This window comes from Homo sapiens, chromosome 20 (genome assembly GCF_000001405.40).
Source record: "Homo sapiens chromosome 20, GRCh38.p14 Primary Assembly".
NCBI classification, from domain to species: domain Eukaryota; kingdom Metazoa; phylum Chordata; class Mammalia; order Primates; family Hominidae; genus Homo; species Homo sapiens.
Window position 1 is genome coordinate 60,675,768 of NC_000020.11, and position 18,730 is coordinate 60,694,497.

At 41.0% G+C, this 18,730-nt stretch overlaps 4 annotated features.

Annotated features, from left to right (window-relative positions):
• Window positions 410-1,609: an enhancer, noted in NCBI's record as "CDK7 strongly-dependent group 2 enhancer chr20:59251235-59252434 (GRCh37/hg19 assembly coordinates)". NCBI's record gives its function as "activates an origin of replication core promoter dependent on BRD2, BRD4, P300/CBP, MED14 and CDK7 cofactors, with strong dependence on CDK7, by STARR-seq in HCT116 cells {active_cell/tissue: HCT116}" and the evidence as "EXISTENCE:reporter gene assay evidence [ECO:0000049][PMID:35650434]".
• Window positions 15,713-16,390: an enhancer, noted in NCBI's record as "NANOG-H3K27ac-H3K4me1 hESC enhancer chr20:59266538-59267215 (GRCh37/hg19 assembly coordinates)". NCBI's record gives its function as "activates a minimal SCP1, AML or CMV promoter by ChIP-STARR-seq in naive H9 embryonic stem cells {active_cell/tissue: H9 hESC(naive)}" and the evidence as "EXISTENCE:reporter gene assay evidence [ECO:0000049][PMID:30033119]".
• Window positions 16,391-17,067: an enhancer, noted in NCBI's record as "NANOG-H3K27ac-H3K4me1 hESC enhancer chr20:59267216-59267892 (GRCh37/hg19 assembly coordinates)". NCBI's record gives its function as "activates a minimal SCP1, AML or CMV promoter by ChIP-STARR-seq in naive and primed H9 embryonic stem cells {active_cell/tissue: H9 hESC(naive and primed)}" and the evidence as "EXISTENCE:reporter gene assay evidence [ECO:0000049][PMID:30033119]".
• Window positions 17,068-17,744: an enhancer, noted in NCBI's record as "NANOG-H3K27ac-H3K4me1 hESC enhancer chr20:59267893-59268569 (GRCh37/hg19 assembly coordinates)". NCBI's record gives its function as "activates a minimal SCP1, AML or CMV promoter by ChIP-STARR-seq in primed H9 embryonic stem cells {active_cell/tissue: H9 hESC(primed)}" and the evidence as "EXISTENCE:reporter gene assay evidence [ECO:0000049][PMID:30033119]".

An 18,730-nucleotide genomic window follows, 5' to 3' on the forward strand; every position in this document is an offset into this window, starting at 1 on the left:
AGTTGTGACAACCAAAAGTGTCTCTAGACATCACCACATGTCCCATATGTTACAGAACTGTCCTAGCTGACAACCATTGCCTTATCCTGCTCAGAATATTACTTATAATTACACGTTATCACTTTTTACTGTTTAATTACTTGTTTTATGTTTTGATGAAAAATTAAGAACTTTCTTGCAATTTAAGTCATCTCTCCAAGTTTTGAGAGAAAAGAAAATACAAAACTTTTGCAAACCTGGCATACCAAGAGTAAATAACAATTATGCCATATGGGTTTATGTCTGGGTACAGAATTTTTACAAATATATTTCAGATTCAAATTGTTCAAAAATATCTGTCTAATGATATGTAGTTTCAGAGTAAACACTTCATTTTTCTTCTAAATGAGCATTCAGTTTGTAGAAATGGAGAACTAATGTATTTTCTGCTGCCAAAAACAATCTCCATGGTATTCAGAGACCCTTGTTGATTACTTTTTAGCTACATAATGTTTACATTATTCAAACCAAAAATACCAAAATGATGGGTGTATGGATCATCTTGGATTTGCTTTCTTATCTGGCTTTCAAATCCAGTTTCCTGTGTAATCACAACATAAAAGGAGAGATAACTTGATAAAATGGAGAATTGATTGTAGGTAGCTTGCCTCAGTAACCCAATTCCTACTGAAAGGAGCAAAGAAATGAAAAACTGGGGGAAATGACAGTAGCATTAAAAAGGAAAGTATCTCTTCATGGCACAAAATAGAGGACTTTCTGCTGGATGACGTGCATGTGAGACCGCCTTCGAGGAAGACAGGGAGGGGCCAGACTGCAGCCAAGGAACTAGAGAAGGCCGGATAGGCCAAGGGGAATGGAACGAAGAGACCCCATGTGTGACAGCAGCAATCTGGGAGGGAGTTTCTGCAGGAGCCGCGGATAGTCCACCTGGGCCGTCTGGGTGGTCAGCCCCCAAATGCAAAGGAAGGAAGAGCAGGGCTGTCACTTGACTCTTGGTGGCAGCTCCAAAAAGGCAATGGTGCCTGCTCACCAACCAGGAATGAAGACCTTCCAATCAAAAAACAAGACAAGAAAAGCTGCCCCTGATGAATCATTTTCAGGAAACACAGAGAAGTCATTACACACCCAGAAGATTTTCCCACTGGGGCCCCTCTCAGCCTCGTGAATCGCTCTGGCATGTGATCAAGAGAAAGAATTCCAACAAAATCCAGGATGACACTAAAACAATGTGAAGAAATTCAGGTATCAACACTGTTTGGGGGAAAATATCCTAGATTGAAAGAGACCACCTCTTACTTAATGATGTCTAAATTTAAACAGTGACCCACGCCGGAGTTCTTGACATGGCTCTCAACACCGTTATGGAAATTGCAGTTCATGCAACGACTGATTGATTGGTTGATTGATTTGCCTATCTGGAAAGCCAAGAAAGTCAGCTGAAAACAGAAGAGAAGCAAGAAAGATCTCTAAGATGGGGATATTTACAAATAACATTTAAAACACAATAGCCATTTAATATCAACTGCATGCCAGGCACCGTGCTAAATATGTTTTTTAATCTCTTTTAATTAAATTCTACTTCTTGCTAGCTGTGTAAACTTACACAATTTATTTAACCTCTCTGGGTCAGTACATCATCGATTCTTTTGTATTTGTTGACACTCGCTGTGCAGCTTAGAATACACTGAGTGTATTTTCAAGCCATCCGTCTTGAAAAGTGTGTATATGCTCCACCTGTTACTGTCAGCAACCCACGACCTCCACCAAATTGTGATGGGCACATTGCCATAAATTGTATTGTTATCCATACTCATGTGTTGTAATCACATTAACTGATCATTTTTTGCATTGTGTGTTACTTTCGTTAGTACTGCAGATTTGTCATTTTGTTTCTGTCAATATTTGGTTTACTTATTATGAAGCGATGTTATTTGGTGAATACAAATTCAGGATTTTTTATATTCATGGTGAATTTTCTCCTTTCCCATGATGTAACAAAACTCTTCATCCTAACAATCCCTTTACCCTAAAGCCCTCTGTGTGTTGTTCACATGGCTACCTCAGTTTTCTTTTGCTTTGTATGGTATTATACATCTTTTTAAATCCTTTAACTTTCAGTCTTTTTTTTTACCTTATATGTTAAATTTCTTTCTTGTAAATAGCATATTGTTGGATGTCTCAAAATGCAAACTGAAAATTCCTCACTTTTAACCGAACAATAAAATTTATTTTTGCTGATTATGATTTTTAAAATATTTGAATTTGTTTGCACAATGTTAATGTCTTAATGATTCTTCTTCTTCCTATGTCATAGTAAATTGAGGAGTCTTCATTTCTTTTATCTTTTTCTGTTTTTTCTTTTTTTTACCCTTACATCAGATTTGGATGTTTTGCCTTCTATTTCTATCCCTTTATTGGGAACTCTTAAAAATTTAATGCTAGGTATTTAACTTTCAAAGTCTAAAATTAATAAATATTTATATTCTTTTTTCAAAGAACATGTAGACTTTAGAACTCTTTAACTCTGATCATTCACTCTTAAATCTCCCTTGTTCTTGCTATGTGGTATTTAGTTTCCACCTTCTTTGTAAGCCACCCACATTAGGCAGTTTCTCAGGATGCACCTCAGGAGATGAAAAATAAGAAGTAGAAATTATGAGACCAGGAAGGTAAAATGAGAAGGTTCAAAAATACATAATAAGACTTTAGGCATGACAAAAAAGAGAATGAAGAAAAAGCAGCCATCAGAAAGATAATCTTCAAAAATTTCCAGAACTGAAAAACAAGAGTCTATACATTTTTGAAGCACAATAAGCCTCGTACAACGTAAATAATATCAGTCCCAATTAATCTGATTGTAAAGAAACAGTGGGATCCCAAAGATAACAAGGAAATCTCAAAAGCAGTCATAAGAAAAATAGGTTACTTAAAAAAATAACAATTAATTGCCAGAGGTTGTTTTTAATCAAGCACAAGAGAAGCTAGAAGAGAATAAAAACTTCAGATTGCTAAACAATAAACATTTATCAATCTATACCCAGATAAACTATTAATCAAGATAAGGGTAAATAAAGAAACTTTCAGATATAAAGAAATTAAGAGTTTTACATTTACAGATTATCATCAAAAGAATGACCAAAAGATTAGATTTTTCAGCATAATCTGTGTATTACTATGATTACAAATTAAATCTGAGGTCTCGATGGATTAAATAAAAACCCACAAAGGTTTCTTTTCTTGCCCTGATTGCACTGGCCAGGACAGAACCAACACGCTTTATTTTTCTGCTCACATAAAGTCTACTGTAGGTTGAGCAACTCTCTCAGTTCACAGAAAAGGAACTCAAATACATTAATACTCAAATGAGTAATTTCTGAATATAGACCCTGAAGAGCATCATACACATGCACAAGAAGATGGTGTACATATATTTATTGTTGCATTTCTAAATAATACGAACACATTGAAAGCAATTTTTAAAAAGCCTATAAATTAAGAAATGGATACAAATTGGGGCATACCATGAAATACCACAGAGCAGGAGTTGACATACTCCATATGGCTTATAAGATCTGAAATATTTACTGTCCAGTTCTTCTAGAGAAAGTTTGCCAACCCCTGGGATAAAGCACTTAAAGTGTATCAGTGTAGATATATCTAAAAACATATAAAATTATCATTTAGCCTAGAAGAAAATGTGAAATTCAAAAGGATATGTACAACTCGAGACACTGTGTTTTATTTAAATATGAAGCACACAAAACAGTGACATGCATACATGTACCTGTATATTAAAAAAAGACAGAATCCTAAAGAGGAAAGCTCTGTATAAACGTCAGAGCCCTGGCTACCTCCACAGAGGGCAGGGAAAGGAATGAGTAGGGGAGAGGTGGGAATGGCAGCAATATATTCATCAACACTGGTTGCTCTTCAAAGTCTAAGTGTTAACATTTGTTAAAATTCTGTGTTTTGGCCAGGCGTGGTGACTCACACCTGTAATCCTAGCACTTTGGGAGGCTGAGACAGGTGGATCACCTGAAGTCGGGAGTTCGAGACCAGCCTGACCAACATGGAGAAACCCCGTTTCTCCTTTAAGTTCTGGGATACATGTGCAGAATGTGTAGGTTTGTTACATAGGTATACATGTGCCATGGTGGTTTGCTGTACTTATCAACCTGTCATCTAGGTTTTAAGCCCCGCATGCATTAGGTATTTGTCCTAATGCTCTCCCTCCCCTTACCCCTCAGCCGCCAACAGGCCCCGGTGTGTGATGTTCCCCTCCCTGTGTCCATGTGTTCTCATTGTTCAACTCCCACTTACGAGTGAGAACGTGCGGCGTTTGGTTTCCTGTTCCTGTGTTAGTTTGCTGAGGATGATGGCTTCCAGCTTCATTCACACATTGATTTTTAAAGGAGCAAACTTTTCACACATGAATGATGTCTTAAGACGGCACCTCTTCACGTCAAGGATGTGGGACTATGACCCCTTCAGTGTCCCATGCATTCCATTGTGGACTGTATTATCTGTCTCCTTGTGTTCTCATTCCCCAACCACTGCTGCCGCCACTCATAAGCCAGATGATAAGCCCTCTGCAGGCAGGATCCATGTCTTTCTCCACCTTTGAATCCTTGGTGCCTGTCACTGTACCCAGGACTACCTGGCTATTTATCACATCATTGCTGCAATAAATGCCTGACTCTATGTTCTCCGTGTTAGGCTTAAAATATTGATTTTTAAAATGTCAGTTGTACAGAAAAAAAAAAGTACTCCAACAATCTGGTGCTTTCCATCCCCAAAGTTTAGAACTCTGGTGAACTCTCAAAGGAGACAGACTTGAGTAGAAGAATAGAAATAAGATCTTCATTTCCCAATACGGGAGCACATGTTGGAGACATTTTAACGTCAAACAGGTCAATCAGGATATAATTGCCTCTGAGAGACACTCAAGAAATCAGAGACATTCTTTACCTGGAGCTGAGTGCCACTTGAAAAGATGACAGCCTTTCACGCGTTTGAAAACATCAAAGACTATCAAAGCACCAGCTCCAAACCTGATCCTCACAATCCAACACCAGCCTACGAGTCAGGAATGAAGGCAGCAGCAACAGGAGAAAAACCACATTGCATACGTAAATCTAAGTCACAGGAAACACAAATCCCAGAGACAACCTCAGTTATGTGGCCCTCTAGTTGGACTCAGAATGGTTCTGACCAACACTGGGTTCAGTGTGGCCGAATTTACATGGAGGGTGGGTTTGCAGCAGAGGATGCCATCTCTGTGGGCTTTCAGAGGCATTGAAGAAGGAGATCCTTTTCCCTCCCTGGGGTTCCAAGAAAACACTCTCTTGGGTTGACTTTACATTTTACAAGTAAATGCAAATAATACCTGGAAGAGATAACACTCTTTTTTCAGATCAAACATTAACACTTAATTTGAATTAACTTTAGCAGTTGAGGAGCATTGAGACCATTATGAAATAATGCTATTTCTCTGGTTAAAGCTGGTTCTTACTTCCAATGACATGTTTTGGAACACGCTCGTCGATGGACAAACACATGTGTCCTTCCTTCGAGATTAAACAGTTTGAGTTAGTCTTAAGTTTGTCTTCTCCATTGTTGTTTGGCAAGAAAACTTGCTACCTCCTTTCAGAAAACAATGTGTCAATGCATTTTTAATTAAAGTCTTATTTTGAGATAATTATAGATTCACGTATTTATAAGAAATAATGCAAAAAGATCCTACATACTCTACCCAGTTTCCCCCAATTATAATATCTTACAAAACTATGGTACAAACTCACAATGAGGATATTGGCATTAGTACAGTCAAGACACAGAACATTTTCATCAATACAAGAATCCTTTATTCTGTCCTCTTATAGCCACACCCACGTCCTCCCACAAGCCTCATCCGTGTGACCACAATTCTGTTCTCCATCTCCAAATGTTATCACTTTAAGAATGTTATGTAAATGGAAATACAGTATGCCATCTTTTGAGACTGGCTTTTTTCACACAACAGAATTCCCTTTAGATTCCCCTCTCAATTCTTGTTCCTATCAATTGCTTGTTCCTTTTGATTGCTGAGTAATATTCCACAAGATGGATTACACTGCAGTTTGTTTAAACTTTCATCTCCTGAAGGAGATCTAGGTTGTTTACACTTTTTGGCTATTACAAATGAAGCTGTTATGAACATTCATGTACAGGATTTTATGTAAACCTGGGATAAATGTCCAAGAGTACAATTGCTGTGTTGTATGGTAGCTGCATGTTCACTTTTATAAGAAATTGCTGAACTATTTTTCAAAGTGGCTGTACCATTTTACATCTCCACATGCAGTATATGAGTGTGTCAATGTATTTTATGAAATATGTAAACCCTTATGCCCCTTAACTAATAATTACCCTTTAGGGAATCTATCCTCTAAGGATAGCTCAACATATAGAAACATATATGTGTGTGTGTCTGTGTGTGCTTTATATAGCCTATTTTTTGACTTTAAGGAAAGCTAAAGGGTAAGCTAGATGGGATTTTATATTTAAGCCTAGAAGAAAAACATGTTAAAATTGTATTTATGGAAAAATATAATCAAGTGGAAAAACACATTGCCCTATGTTTCTCAGGCAACAGTGCTTCTAATATGCCTATTTGTTTTGAACATATGGTTATATCCTTCACACCACTGTACACACTTGCTCTCCAGGGAGAAAAATAGGTCTAGAGCATTGGCTTAACCAACAGAAGGTTAACCAGCAGAACCTTAACCAACAGAAGGTTAACCAACAGAACCTTAACCAACAGAAGGTTAATTAGCTGGTGAGGAGTAGGAAACCATTAGGGCCTGCACAATTCCTTAGACTGGTAGATGGTGGTTGAGGGTCACCGAGAGGCTCTTGCATGTGTTGTCAGGAGAATGTCAGAGGTCAGCACGAGGCATAGGAGGTGACCACAGTGAGAGAAAAGGGGGCTTGGAGGAGCCTCCAGTCCACTTCACAGTTGATGGGCACCCTAGCCATGGTTGAGAATTAGCAGCTCCCTGTTCCTCAAGGCAAAACCCAAACCAAAACAAAACCTTTCCCAGAAATTACATTTTTCAAAGACTATTTGAAATAATACCACATAGACAGATAGATTTTTTTTAAGAGAAAACAGTAACCTATCTAGCTAGCATCAAGGGGAAAAGATCTTAATAACGTTGCCTGTATCTTCAGAGTCTTTGGAGTTTGCTGCTGTTATGTTTTCAAGAAACCCAATATACAAAGAGATCAGAGCAAGTGAACACTTGGGTCTTGCATGATGTGTCTGGAGAACTGGCCTGCAGAAGTGTCAATCAAATCTTAACACAGAATTTAGTTCATTTCTAAAAGATTACAAATATGAATTGACTTCTCAATTAAATCTGTTAACCATAGAAAATAATAATAAAAAAAACACAGCACTTCAGTTTAATTTAATTTTGACTGCCTTTTCAAATGCCAGCCATGCTGGTGGCGGGAGAGACAGAGGCGCCTCCAGAGACCATTGGGTGTGAGTCCTCAGAATCTGTGGATATCTGGAACCTTGTGGTCTTGTCACAGAGAGGGAAGGAGACATGAAAGCAACTTAAACCCTTGGGAACCATTCCTGAATTTATGAAACCCTCTTAAACTTAGTTAACATCTCCTCTCCAGGTGGAGAAGGAAAAGCTTCGGGGTCATATTTTGAAATTCACTGGACCTGGATTCAAATTCTGTTTCTGTTACAGACCGTGTGGCCTTGGGAACTCATGAACAATTCTTTTTTTTTTTTTTTTTTTTTTTTAGAGATGGAGTTTTACTCTTGTCACCCAAGCTGGAGTGCAATGGCACAATATCATCTCACTGCAACTTCCGCCTCCCAGATTCAAGCAATTCTCCTGCCTCAGCCTCCCAAGTAGCTGGGATTACAGGCATGCACCACCACGCCTGGTTAATTTTGTATTTTTAGTAGAGGCAGGGTTTCACCATATTGGTCAGGCTGGTCTCAAACTCCTGACTTCAGGTGATCCACCCACCTCGGAATGTCAAAGTGCTGGGATTACAGGTGTGAGCCACCGAGCCCAGCCTCCACGAGCAATTCTTGAGCAAGTCACTCAATCCTGTTGAGCCTTAAACACTCCCCTGGGAATGAGGACTCTCATCCCCGCTTGCAAGGCCGTGTAGGCATGACGTAAACTTCTGAATGTGGATCATTAGCTGCAGGTCCACATAGATGACATACTGGCTGCTGCCGGGTGGCTGGTGAGATATGAGGGACTATTTCCCTGTCACGGCTGAGATTCGCCCATTGTCGGTGAGTTCATGAGGATGCCGTTTTCTTTGATGCGTTCACTGATTCTGCAAGTATTTGTTGACACAGGCACAGTTCTAGGCGCTGTGGAGAGAGCAGGGAGTGAAAGGGCACCTGGCTGGTGAGGAGGGCACCCTCTGTTACAGGGAGAGATGGTAAACAATTCCTTATGCCCAGTAGGTGGGATGGACACTGGGGAGAAAGCTAGAGGGTTGTTCAGGGATAGAGAGCAAACCTGAGGGTGGAGAAGGAGGCCCTGTTAATAGTTTGTCAGGATAGGCCTCTGTGATAAGGAGATATTTAAGCACAGCCCTGAAAATGCACGGTGACGAGGGGACACGGGAGACTATTATGGGATTGGCCAAACACACTTTTAAAAATATTTTCTGGCATCAGCTTCTGCTTGTTTCTGCTAATGAACTGGGATCCAGAAGCCGGATCTGCTCTGCCTCGGGAGTGCTCTGTGGCTTTCCTGTTTGCTGCTGGGAGGCCTCAGCTGCCACAGCAGTGTGCTCGGATCCTGCAGCCCTTGGGTTTGCTGTTGGGAGGCCTCAGCCGCCACAGCAGTGCACTTGGATCCTGCCTGCAGCCCTCGAGGGACTTCCTCCTGGGGGCTGCCCTCCACTCCCCATCCATCTTCACTCCCTCCGGCTCCCGGACCTCTCTGTACCTGATCTCTTGTGCTTGTCTACCTGCCCATCTCCTCCAACTTGGGTCTAGACCTCCAGGGTGGGAACGTGACCTTACCCATCTTTGTTTCCTCTGGTATCTGGCTTGGTGTTTATTTCACAGTAGATCCTTCCTCAGCACAAGTTAGGTGAGTTGCTGAGGGAAAAAGAAAAGAAAAAACTAAGTAGGTTTGCCATTAAAGCAGCAAAAACAACAACAATTTATACTGACTAGCCCTTCTGCAATAACAGAGGTTTTTTCCTATTTAGACAAGACAGAAACCCACCCTAATTAGTTCGAGAAAATGGGGGGAAAGGTGGCCTATAGAAAGTGAGAATCAGGCCCATAGGGTGCTGCCACTGGAAAGTCAGGGATTTCTACTTGTCCCCCTCCCTGCTGGTCCCAGGTCCCGCCTCCTAGTCATCATTTCCTTCCCCTATAATTCCCAGCGTGTGGGTACCATTGGCTGGTCCGGGCAGTGCCTCGAGTCCTGATGAAGTTTTGTGACCACCTGGCTTCTTCAGGTCTCCTTGATCTCACGTTTCCAACGTTCCATCCCGGAGACAGATCTCAATGGGCTCAGGCTGGTCTGGGGTCTGCCTCTGTGCCCAGTAGCTACAGACCCTGGAGGGGACATGTTCTGTGCACAGATCTTCCTCACAAGCTCCCTGTGATGATTTCTCTGCCTGCTCATTAGTAAGCTCCGCAGTGCCTCCTGCAGAGCTGTGCCCACAGTGCCACTGAGGGTCTAAAGTCAAGTTGGGGCTCAATAACTACTTGGAAAATATTGACTGAACGCTGAAGGTGAGAGCAGGGCAATGGTTAGAACGCCTTCCACACCCATGAAAAATGTACAATAAATGTGAAATATTTAAAATAAATAAATGTGTTTCTGTTTCCTTATCAGGGCCTGGTTTTGCACTTAGCTGCCTCCATCCATGGTTCTTCTTTCCCTGCCGTACTTTCATGAGGTGATTAACCCCAATCAGGTATCCCCGCTTTTGAATCACAGGACTAAAAAATAATTATTTTGCTGAACATTCTAAGTGAAGAACAGTGTTTGTGATTTCCATACCCTGAGATGGACACATTGCTGTGTGTGTCCATTTTCTGAGCCTACTTTTCTTCTCTAGACAATGGAGATGGTAATAATAATAACAGTAGAAGTAGTAGTAGTCCTCTTGGTATACTCCATATCGTTGTTGTGAGAATTAAAGAAAATAATGTGAGCAAAGTGACCAGTGACTAGCATGGTACAAAAAGAAAAAAAAATCAGCCCTAAATGGATGTTCGCTACATCTTTTGCAAATACCACCCCCGCCCCTGCTGTACTGTCATCATTGTCAGGAGCATCACCAGGGGACCAGCCCCTGCATCACCCTCTCACCCCCCACCCTCTCACCAGGTGTCTCCTAAAGGCAGCTGCAGAAAAATCGCTTGTTGTTTTCTAATGTGGACAAAAAGATTCTACAAGCTCTGTTTCTATTATTTGAGGGTAAATGTGAGAAAACGACAAGCAAAAAAAAAAAAATCACTTGGAAAAAAGTTTGATTTATGTCTGCAATCATACACAGTCAACTTTTAAACTATATTCATTAGCTTGTGGAATCTCTTGTATTCCTCGGCACGTAAGACACAGTTCAGAACCCTGCAAAGACTTCAGCTCACCTTGGAGATGAAATGTGAAGCATGATCAAGATGAAAGACAGTTTGCAAGAAGCATGGACACAGAAATTGTTTGCAATTTAGCCATTCTTCATTTTGTGTGATTGGAAGTGCTAGCCCACTTACAAATGACAATAGAATAAAGAGTTTTAAACAAGCATTTTCTAGAATGTTGATTTCCTGGAGGAGGAAAAAAAATTGTTGTATCCTGCCAAAAGATTGCAGCACCTATAAAATGGTAAGGTCATTTTTCTGCTGAAATGTCACAGTGAGATTTTTTAAATAGATTCCTGGTGCAGTTTTAATAATGTCGAGGTTAAAGATAAGGGGAAAAAAGTATTTAACAATGAGAGTGAAGCAAAAATATTGCCGTTTAAAGTGGATTTTAGGCGTAGCCTTTTACGATGTCAGGGCAAAATATAACCTTGTATACTGCTAATAGTTTTCTAATTGTTTTATTCATAATTAATAACAATCAGCTCAACCACACTGGGCTGATGAACCTGCTTTGACCCTCATGCTAAATATCATAAAAGCAATCCCCGGGGAGGTCTGGAGGAGGGAAAAGGAACAGGGAATGCATGAAGCCCTGTGAGTTTCTCAAAATAAAAATCGAAGAGTTGGCCGGGTGCGGTGGCTCATGCCTGTAATCCCAGCACTTTGGGAGGTTGAGGCGGGTGGATCACCGGAGGTCAGGAGTTCAAGACCAGCCTGGCCAACATGGTGCAACCCCCATCTCTACTAAAAATTAAAAAATCAGCCAGGCGTGGTGGCAGGCACCTGTAGTCCCAGCTACTCGGGAGGCTGAGGCAGAAGAATCGCTTGAAACTGGGAGGCAGAGGTCGCAGTGAGCCAAGATCGGGCCATTGCACTCTAGAAATAAAAAAAAAAAATCGCAGTCTGTTCTGCAGTGGACCTTGTGGAGAGTGTCCATCTAGCTCTCTTCTCTTGAGCTGAACCCCATGACTCAAAGCTGCTGGTGGCCAAGGTTGTGTCACGTGACACGACTGCATCCATTGTTGGAGATCAGTGTCGGAAATGTGGACCAAGCTGGGTCAGGTCCTTTGTCCCTAGAATTTGTGCTGAGGAAAGGAACCTGGGAGATGGGGGTTGAGGGTATTTTTGGCAGCATGTCCACTTGCTCCTCAGTGGGAGACTTTTGTTCTATGTTCATCTCGGTAAGTCTCTAGTAAATTGCCTGTTTTAACTTAATTGAATGTATTAATGAAGATGGTTTTTCATAACAATCACTAGAGAGATTATTTCTCCTACTTAGGTTGTAAGGAAGGAGGGAGCCAGGGCGAGTTGGGGAACTCTGCACTCTCTGTAAATCTCTTCTTCTCTCTTTTACATTACACAAGAGTTTATGTGGATGAGAATAGAGAAGTTCAGCAGCCATTTATCCAGCCTGGGAGGCTGGAGAAAAGTTTCTTCTTTGCCTGCATCTTCTCTCTTCCTGCCTTTCCTAGAAGTACCCAGACATTTTCACCCTTGGCCAGTTCTGAATCCACAAGCTACCTCTAGCTACAAGGAAAACTGGGAAGACATTCTTTTTTCCTTAGTGAGAGGAATAGGAGGACAGGGAGCTGGTATGACTGTGGGATCAGCGGCCTATAGGGTCTGCCCCGCTGGCCTGTGTGGCTTTCAGTTGATGACCCAAGGGTCCAACTATGACAATTATGGTCAAGAGACTAGGACCCTCCAGATTCTAAGTTCACATTCTCACATCTACCCTACTGAAGCCTACAAGAAGGAGGAAGGTGTGATTCAGCCTCAAATCCGCCTTCTCTGAGACGACGCATGGGCAGCTTTAAGTGCTGTCTAAGATGCCACATGACTACACGTGTCCACCAAATACACCAGTTCTTTGCTATCTTTGCTTCAGTATTTTTTTTCCTATTTGGAGATGTCCTTCCATACTCCCTGTCTTTCTCTCCCCCTCTCCCTCCCTCTTTCTCTCGCCAGAGGGCAGGCTGTCATGATGGGGAGTACCATGTCCATGCTTGGTTTTTGAATATATTCTTTTACATGTAAGTGTTCATAGCAATATACAGCATATTTCATATCATTCTCAAAGATTACATGAATGATATCATATTGCTCACATGATCCAGGAACTTTCTCTTTTTTCCACATGGCATTAACCTCTGAGATCCATCCATGTTGGTATGTGTAGCTTCAGCTTATCTCTCTTAGCCACTGTGTTCTCTTCTACCCCGTGGCTCAATCTTTATTGAGCAATATTGCCCAGGCGGGTCTCAAACTCCTCATAATTACAAGCCATTGTAATTATTTATAATTACATCCTATGACTATAAGCCAATTAAGAAAGTGATCAAAGGAAAATTAAAACCTTTCTATGAAAAATTAAATCTCGTTGAAATCTCAGCTGTAGTAGCTAAGTATGCCAGCATGTACTTTGGTGAGATAAGGATGCCAGTCTTGTATCTTCCTACTCATGGACTATTAGACTGTTTCCACTTTATGGTCATTGCAAACAATGCAGGAAGGGACTTTTGTCTTTTTAGGTTTAGAAGCAAGCACTGTCATCTAACTATTTGTCTAGGAGTTGAATTTATGGAACAAAAGGTATCCATGTACCAGCATCTTTTACCAGATTTTGCCAAATTGTTCTCTACTTCCAATTGCAGTCCTGCCAGCCTATAGATGTTCCATTTTCCACATCTTCAGCCATTCTTCCCATAAAACACAAATGTTTTTGCTATTCTAATGGATAATGAGAAAGGGTCTATCTTTGTGATTTTGATTTGCGCTTTCTTAATTACTGGCAAGTTTGAGCATCTTGTTCTGTTGAATGCTCACCTGGGCTCCTGTTCTCTGAATTGTCCATCCACAGCTCTTGTTTAGAGCAGAACCTTGCTCTATAAGTGCTCCATACTCATCCTTCATCAGTTATGTGTGTCGTCCATGTGTGGTCTCAGTTTCTAGCTGTCTTTGGCTTTAAGGTATCTCGTATTTTACAGTTGTTTTAAATTTAAATGTGGTACATCTATCAGTTGTTTCCATTGTGGTTTGTACCTTTGAGTCTATTTCAAGACATTTTTCTCTATTCAGAATCATAAAATAGTCTTTTATAATCTATTCTAAGAGTTTTATTGTTTCACCTTTTTGCATTGAAGTCTGTAGTCAACTTTGGATTTACTTTTGCATATGAAGAAAAGCATATGGGGCATATAATTTACTTCTACGTGTGAAAGAAAAGTATCTGATGATGCATATTTCAAATAGGCAGGCAGGTATAGTAACAACATTGGCAGAATGTCCTATCACTTCTCAGCTTTTGTACAGGGCACTTCGGTGGCCCGTGTGTGGGGTCTTTCTGGGCTCCCCATTTTTTTTTGCAGGAACCTGTTTTTTAAATCCCTGATTTAATTCCCATGGGTTTTTATTTTCAATATAGTGAATAATAAGCAGGGCATTTTGCTTTGATGTTGCTTGTAAATCATTTTATCATGTTAATAAAGTTCCTTTTATTCCGATTTTGCTAGAAGGGTTTTAAAATGATTATATTTATTTGGATGTTTAATTTAGTAACATAATTTTGTGTATGTTGACATGACTATTCTTTAAGTTACTAGTGTGTTGAATTACATTAATAGATTTCTTAATATCAAAATAAGAAATAAGTGAACAATGCCTGTCTTATGATTTAATTGTTTGTGTGTGTGTGCGCACATGTGTGGGAACATTCAGCTTGCTGATATTTAATTTAGGTTTCTGGATCTATGTTCAAAAGTGAGAGAATGTATCTCTGGTCAATGCTATGAATAATTCCATCCTTTTACTTTCAATTCTTTTTCTTTCTTTCTTTTTTTTTTTTTTCCAGAAAGAGGAAGTCTCACTCTGTTGCCCAAGCTAGTCTCAAACTCCTGGCCTCAAGAGATCCTCCCTCTGCTGCCAAATTCTTTTGTGATATGAAGTTGATTTTTCTGGAGTAGGGAGGTTATCTAATCTGGGAATATTTGTGTTTTAAAAACAGTTATGGGACCAGGAGCGGTGGTTCACACCTGTAATCCCAGCACTTTAGGAGGCTGAGGTGGGCAGATCACTTGAGCTCAGGAGTTTGAGACCAGCCTGGCCAACATGGTGAAACCCTGTTTCTAGTAAAAAATAAAAAAAATTAGCTGGGTGTGGTGGCCAGCATCTGTAATCCCAGTTATTCGGGAGGCTGAAGCAGGAGAATCACTTGAATCCAGGAGGCGGAGGTTGCAGTGGGCCAAGATCACGCCATTGCACTCCAGCCTGGGTGACAAGAGCCAAACTCTGTCTCAAAATAAATAAATAAATAAATAAATAAATAAATAAATAAACAAACAAACAAATAAAAACAGTTATGGTATTTAAGTAACAATGCAGTGATCCTTTCCTGGGACTGACTTCGACCCTCTTAGTTTTGTTGCTGGTTTGACTCATCAGGAGCAACTAGCACTGTTTCTTGCTGAGCTGAGATGAACCATTCAGGGTGGTGCCCACTGCACCCCCAATGGACAGGCTTCACCAGTAAGCAGAAGCAAGTCTGCACCCCGTGCCAGTTCTGCTAAGAATGTTCTTATATATTTTGGCAAATGTTCAGCAAACACTAGAACTAACAAGCAGCTTAAAGTGAGACAGCTGTCCTTCTTGAAGCTCAAGATTAAACGTACACAGTCCAAGTCAAGCAGACAGTAAATATATTTCAGAATCAGAGCTTCAGGAAGGAAGGATTTTCAAATACTGTACAATGGAAAAAAAGAAATCACTGATGAAACCTATTAAAATATCCTTAGAAAACACAGGTAAAATGTAGTCAAAAGATCCAAAAGAAAAGATGGTCTCAGCAACTCTTGTCTCAACATTGGATAGCCTTGCAGAGATGATAAAACTTCTTAGTGATGCCTTAGCCTTGATCATATGGCAAAGGGAAGCTTATCATGGCAATATTTTGCAAATAATGCCTTAACTCTATTTAAAGTACAATTCTAGGATATACACAAGAGACACAATAATGTTAGTTATGCAGGAAGAAGCTCAGAGTCAGAATAATTTGCATAAAAGGTATGGCTCTAAAATACTAATTCTGATGCGTCTAATATAAATTAAAAAATGGTTCCAAGGATAATCCAAAAGTGATTTGGAATCATTGGAGAACATTCCAACATTACTAATTTATACGTGCATTTTGGCAGCATCTTTAAAAAGAAAAACTTATTCCATTTATTTATAAGTACATCCTATGACTACAAGCCAATTGAGAAAGTGATCAAAGGAGAATTATAACATTTCTAGGAAAAATTAAATCTCATTGAAATGTTAGATGTAGTCCCTAACTATTCCAGCCTGTACTTTGGTGTAATAAGGACACCGATCTTGTCTTGGGCCCTGTAGTTGGTTGAATATGTCCACCTTATAACCCTTGGAATCTGTGAATTACGCCTTATTTGGAAAAGGGGTCCTTGAGGATATAATTAAGATAAGAGTCGTGAAATGAGATCCCACTGGGTTATCTGAGTGGACATTTTCACTCGTGTCCGTGTAAAGAGACCACCAAACAGGCTTTGTGTGAGCAACAAGGCTGTTTCTTTCATCTGGGTGCAGGCGGGCTGAGTCCAAAAAGAGAGTCAGCGAAGGGAGATAGGGGTAGGGCTGTTTTATAGGATTTGGGTAGGTAAAGGAAAATTACAGTGAAAGGGGGTTGTTCTCTGGCAGGCAGGGGCAGGAGACACAAGGTGCTCAGTGGGGGAGCTTTTTAGCCAGAATGAGTGAGGAGAAGGAATTTCACAAGGTAATGTCATCAGTTAAGGCAGGAACAGGCCATTTTCACTTCTTTTGTGATTCTTCAGTTACTTCAGGCCATCTGGATGTATACACGCAGGTCACAGGGGATATGATGGCTTAGCTTGGGCTCAGAGGCCTGACAGACACTAAATCCAAGGACAAATGTGCTGACAGATGTCAACCTGAAATAGTCAAAAGGGTCAGAATCTAATTTAAAGTGAGTTTACTCCAGCATAAATTGGTGTGAGGCTGCCACCCCACCACCCCGAGAAACACCAGCTCCAAAGGAATGGAGTCAGCCTGCCCAAGTAGGGAAGTGAAGGTTTCACTTACAGCAGCAGAGAGGGAGGAGTTTTTTTAGCAGGATGAAAACTCATTCATACAAGGTTGGTGCATAGTTACAGCAATTTGGTTGGTTATAGGCAGTGTTTCTTTTGGGAAAGGGTGCATTTAACATTTCTTACAGAGGGTGTGATAGTCATGGGTTTTCTGTCATCTGGTCTAAGCAAAGCAGGACAGCAAGGGGAAGTTAATCGATAAAAGTGTCATTAATTTGAAAGGCAGGAGGTTTCTGTCCTTGACGTCATTTAATTCTTTCTAGGCATTGTACAGAACAAGAAAAATAAGAAAGCCAGTTAATCTATAATCGGAGAACAGAAGTTGTGTCCATATGTGACTGAGCTCACGATCACATCTCTGTCAAGGCTTAAAGTGTTTCTGGGGGTTCCAGCAGCTTTTGAATTGTATTTGTTTTCACATAAAAGACAAAAAAGGGGAAGATGCAGACTTATAGAGGAAGGAGAGAGAAGAGATTGGAGTGATGCAGCAAAGAAAAAAAAAATGCAAAAAATGTCTGGAGCCACCAGAAGCTGAGAACGGCAGGGAAGCATTCTCCCCTAGAGCCTTCAGGGAAGGACAGCCCTGTTGAGACCTTGATTTGGAACTTCTGCCCTCCAGAGAAGACATTCCTGTTCTTTGAAGGCACCGACTTTGTGGTGATTTGTTATGGCAGCCCCTGGAAGTGAACACAGTTCCCATCTTGAACCACATCACTACCCGTGGGTGATGCCAAGCCAAGAAAAATGGCCATGACTTTGTCGATAGATCGTAATCAAAACCCAAACAAAACAACTGCAGCCCGAAATGCTGGGATGACTTCAACAAGGAGACTTATTAAGGGTATATAGAATGACAAGCCAAAGCACAGGACAGGCAAACGTGACAACCTGTGGAGAGTGACCCTGAAGCAAAGGCAATGAAAACTTCTGAAAGGGGCTGTCACAGAGGCGTGGTGACACTGCAGGACCTTAACATGAGCGTTGATCGCTTCCAGAACTGGGACCACCTGCAGGGCTCCGACCCCACAGGAACGCCCTGCTGAGTCGCGTGGCTCCACTTTAGGGTGGATGCAGGGAAGTCTGGCAGAACAGCCTCCAGGATGGAAAAATGACGCAAATCCTGCTCGAAGAAGATGGGAGCAGAACAGAACTTCCTGCAGAGACCCAGGAGCTACAGGAGGTGTTAATCTCACCTGGGAGCTGCCAGAGGGAGGTTCTGAAACCAGTGAAATAATGGAGTTTCAGGTCGACGTCAGCCAGACCTAACCAAATGCTGGGACATCCTGGGGCAGGAGGCCTCTTCCCATTGTTGGCGGTTGAAAAGGGAAGAGAAAACAATTTTCAGGGAGGCTCAGGGAGTAAACCAGAATCTGAATACATTTTAGTAAGGAGGGAGAAAAATGGTAAATTTCCATAATAAAGAAGAGGGAATGTGGAGGAGGAGGTGAGGGGGAAGTGGCCCATTAGTTTCAAACTGCTGTGGGTCTCTTGAGGGCAGAAGTTCCATTTCATCACTTTTATTCTCAAGAAACCCCTTGGAACACTGACTTAATATTTGTTAGCTGAATTTTTTTCTGTAGCTTAATGTTAGTTTTCCATACATGGTTATCTTTTAAGGATAGCAGTAAGAAACTGACATTGTTTTGCCCCAGGGACTAGGAATGTCCCAGGTACTGGACCCATGGCTTCAGTTGGGAAATCTGTGTAATTGACATGATTTAGGGAAGGATTTCTTTTTTTTATTGTTTAAACAAGTATTTCCCTTATAACATTATCGATTCACTCATCAACAAGTATTTAATAAATGTTCACTGTGCTAGACAATAGGATGGCGAACACAGACCTCCACCCACTCTGTGCCAGGCAGCACCCAAGCACCCTCTAGCCACCAACTCACTACCTACTCTTGGCAACCCTGTGAAGTAGGTTCTTATTTCCATTTTGCATGTGAGACCACTGAAACAATGAATAA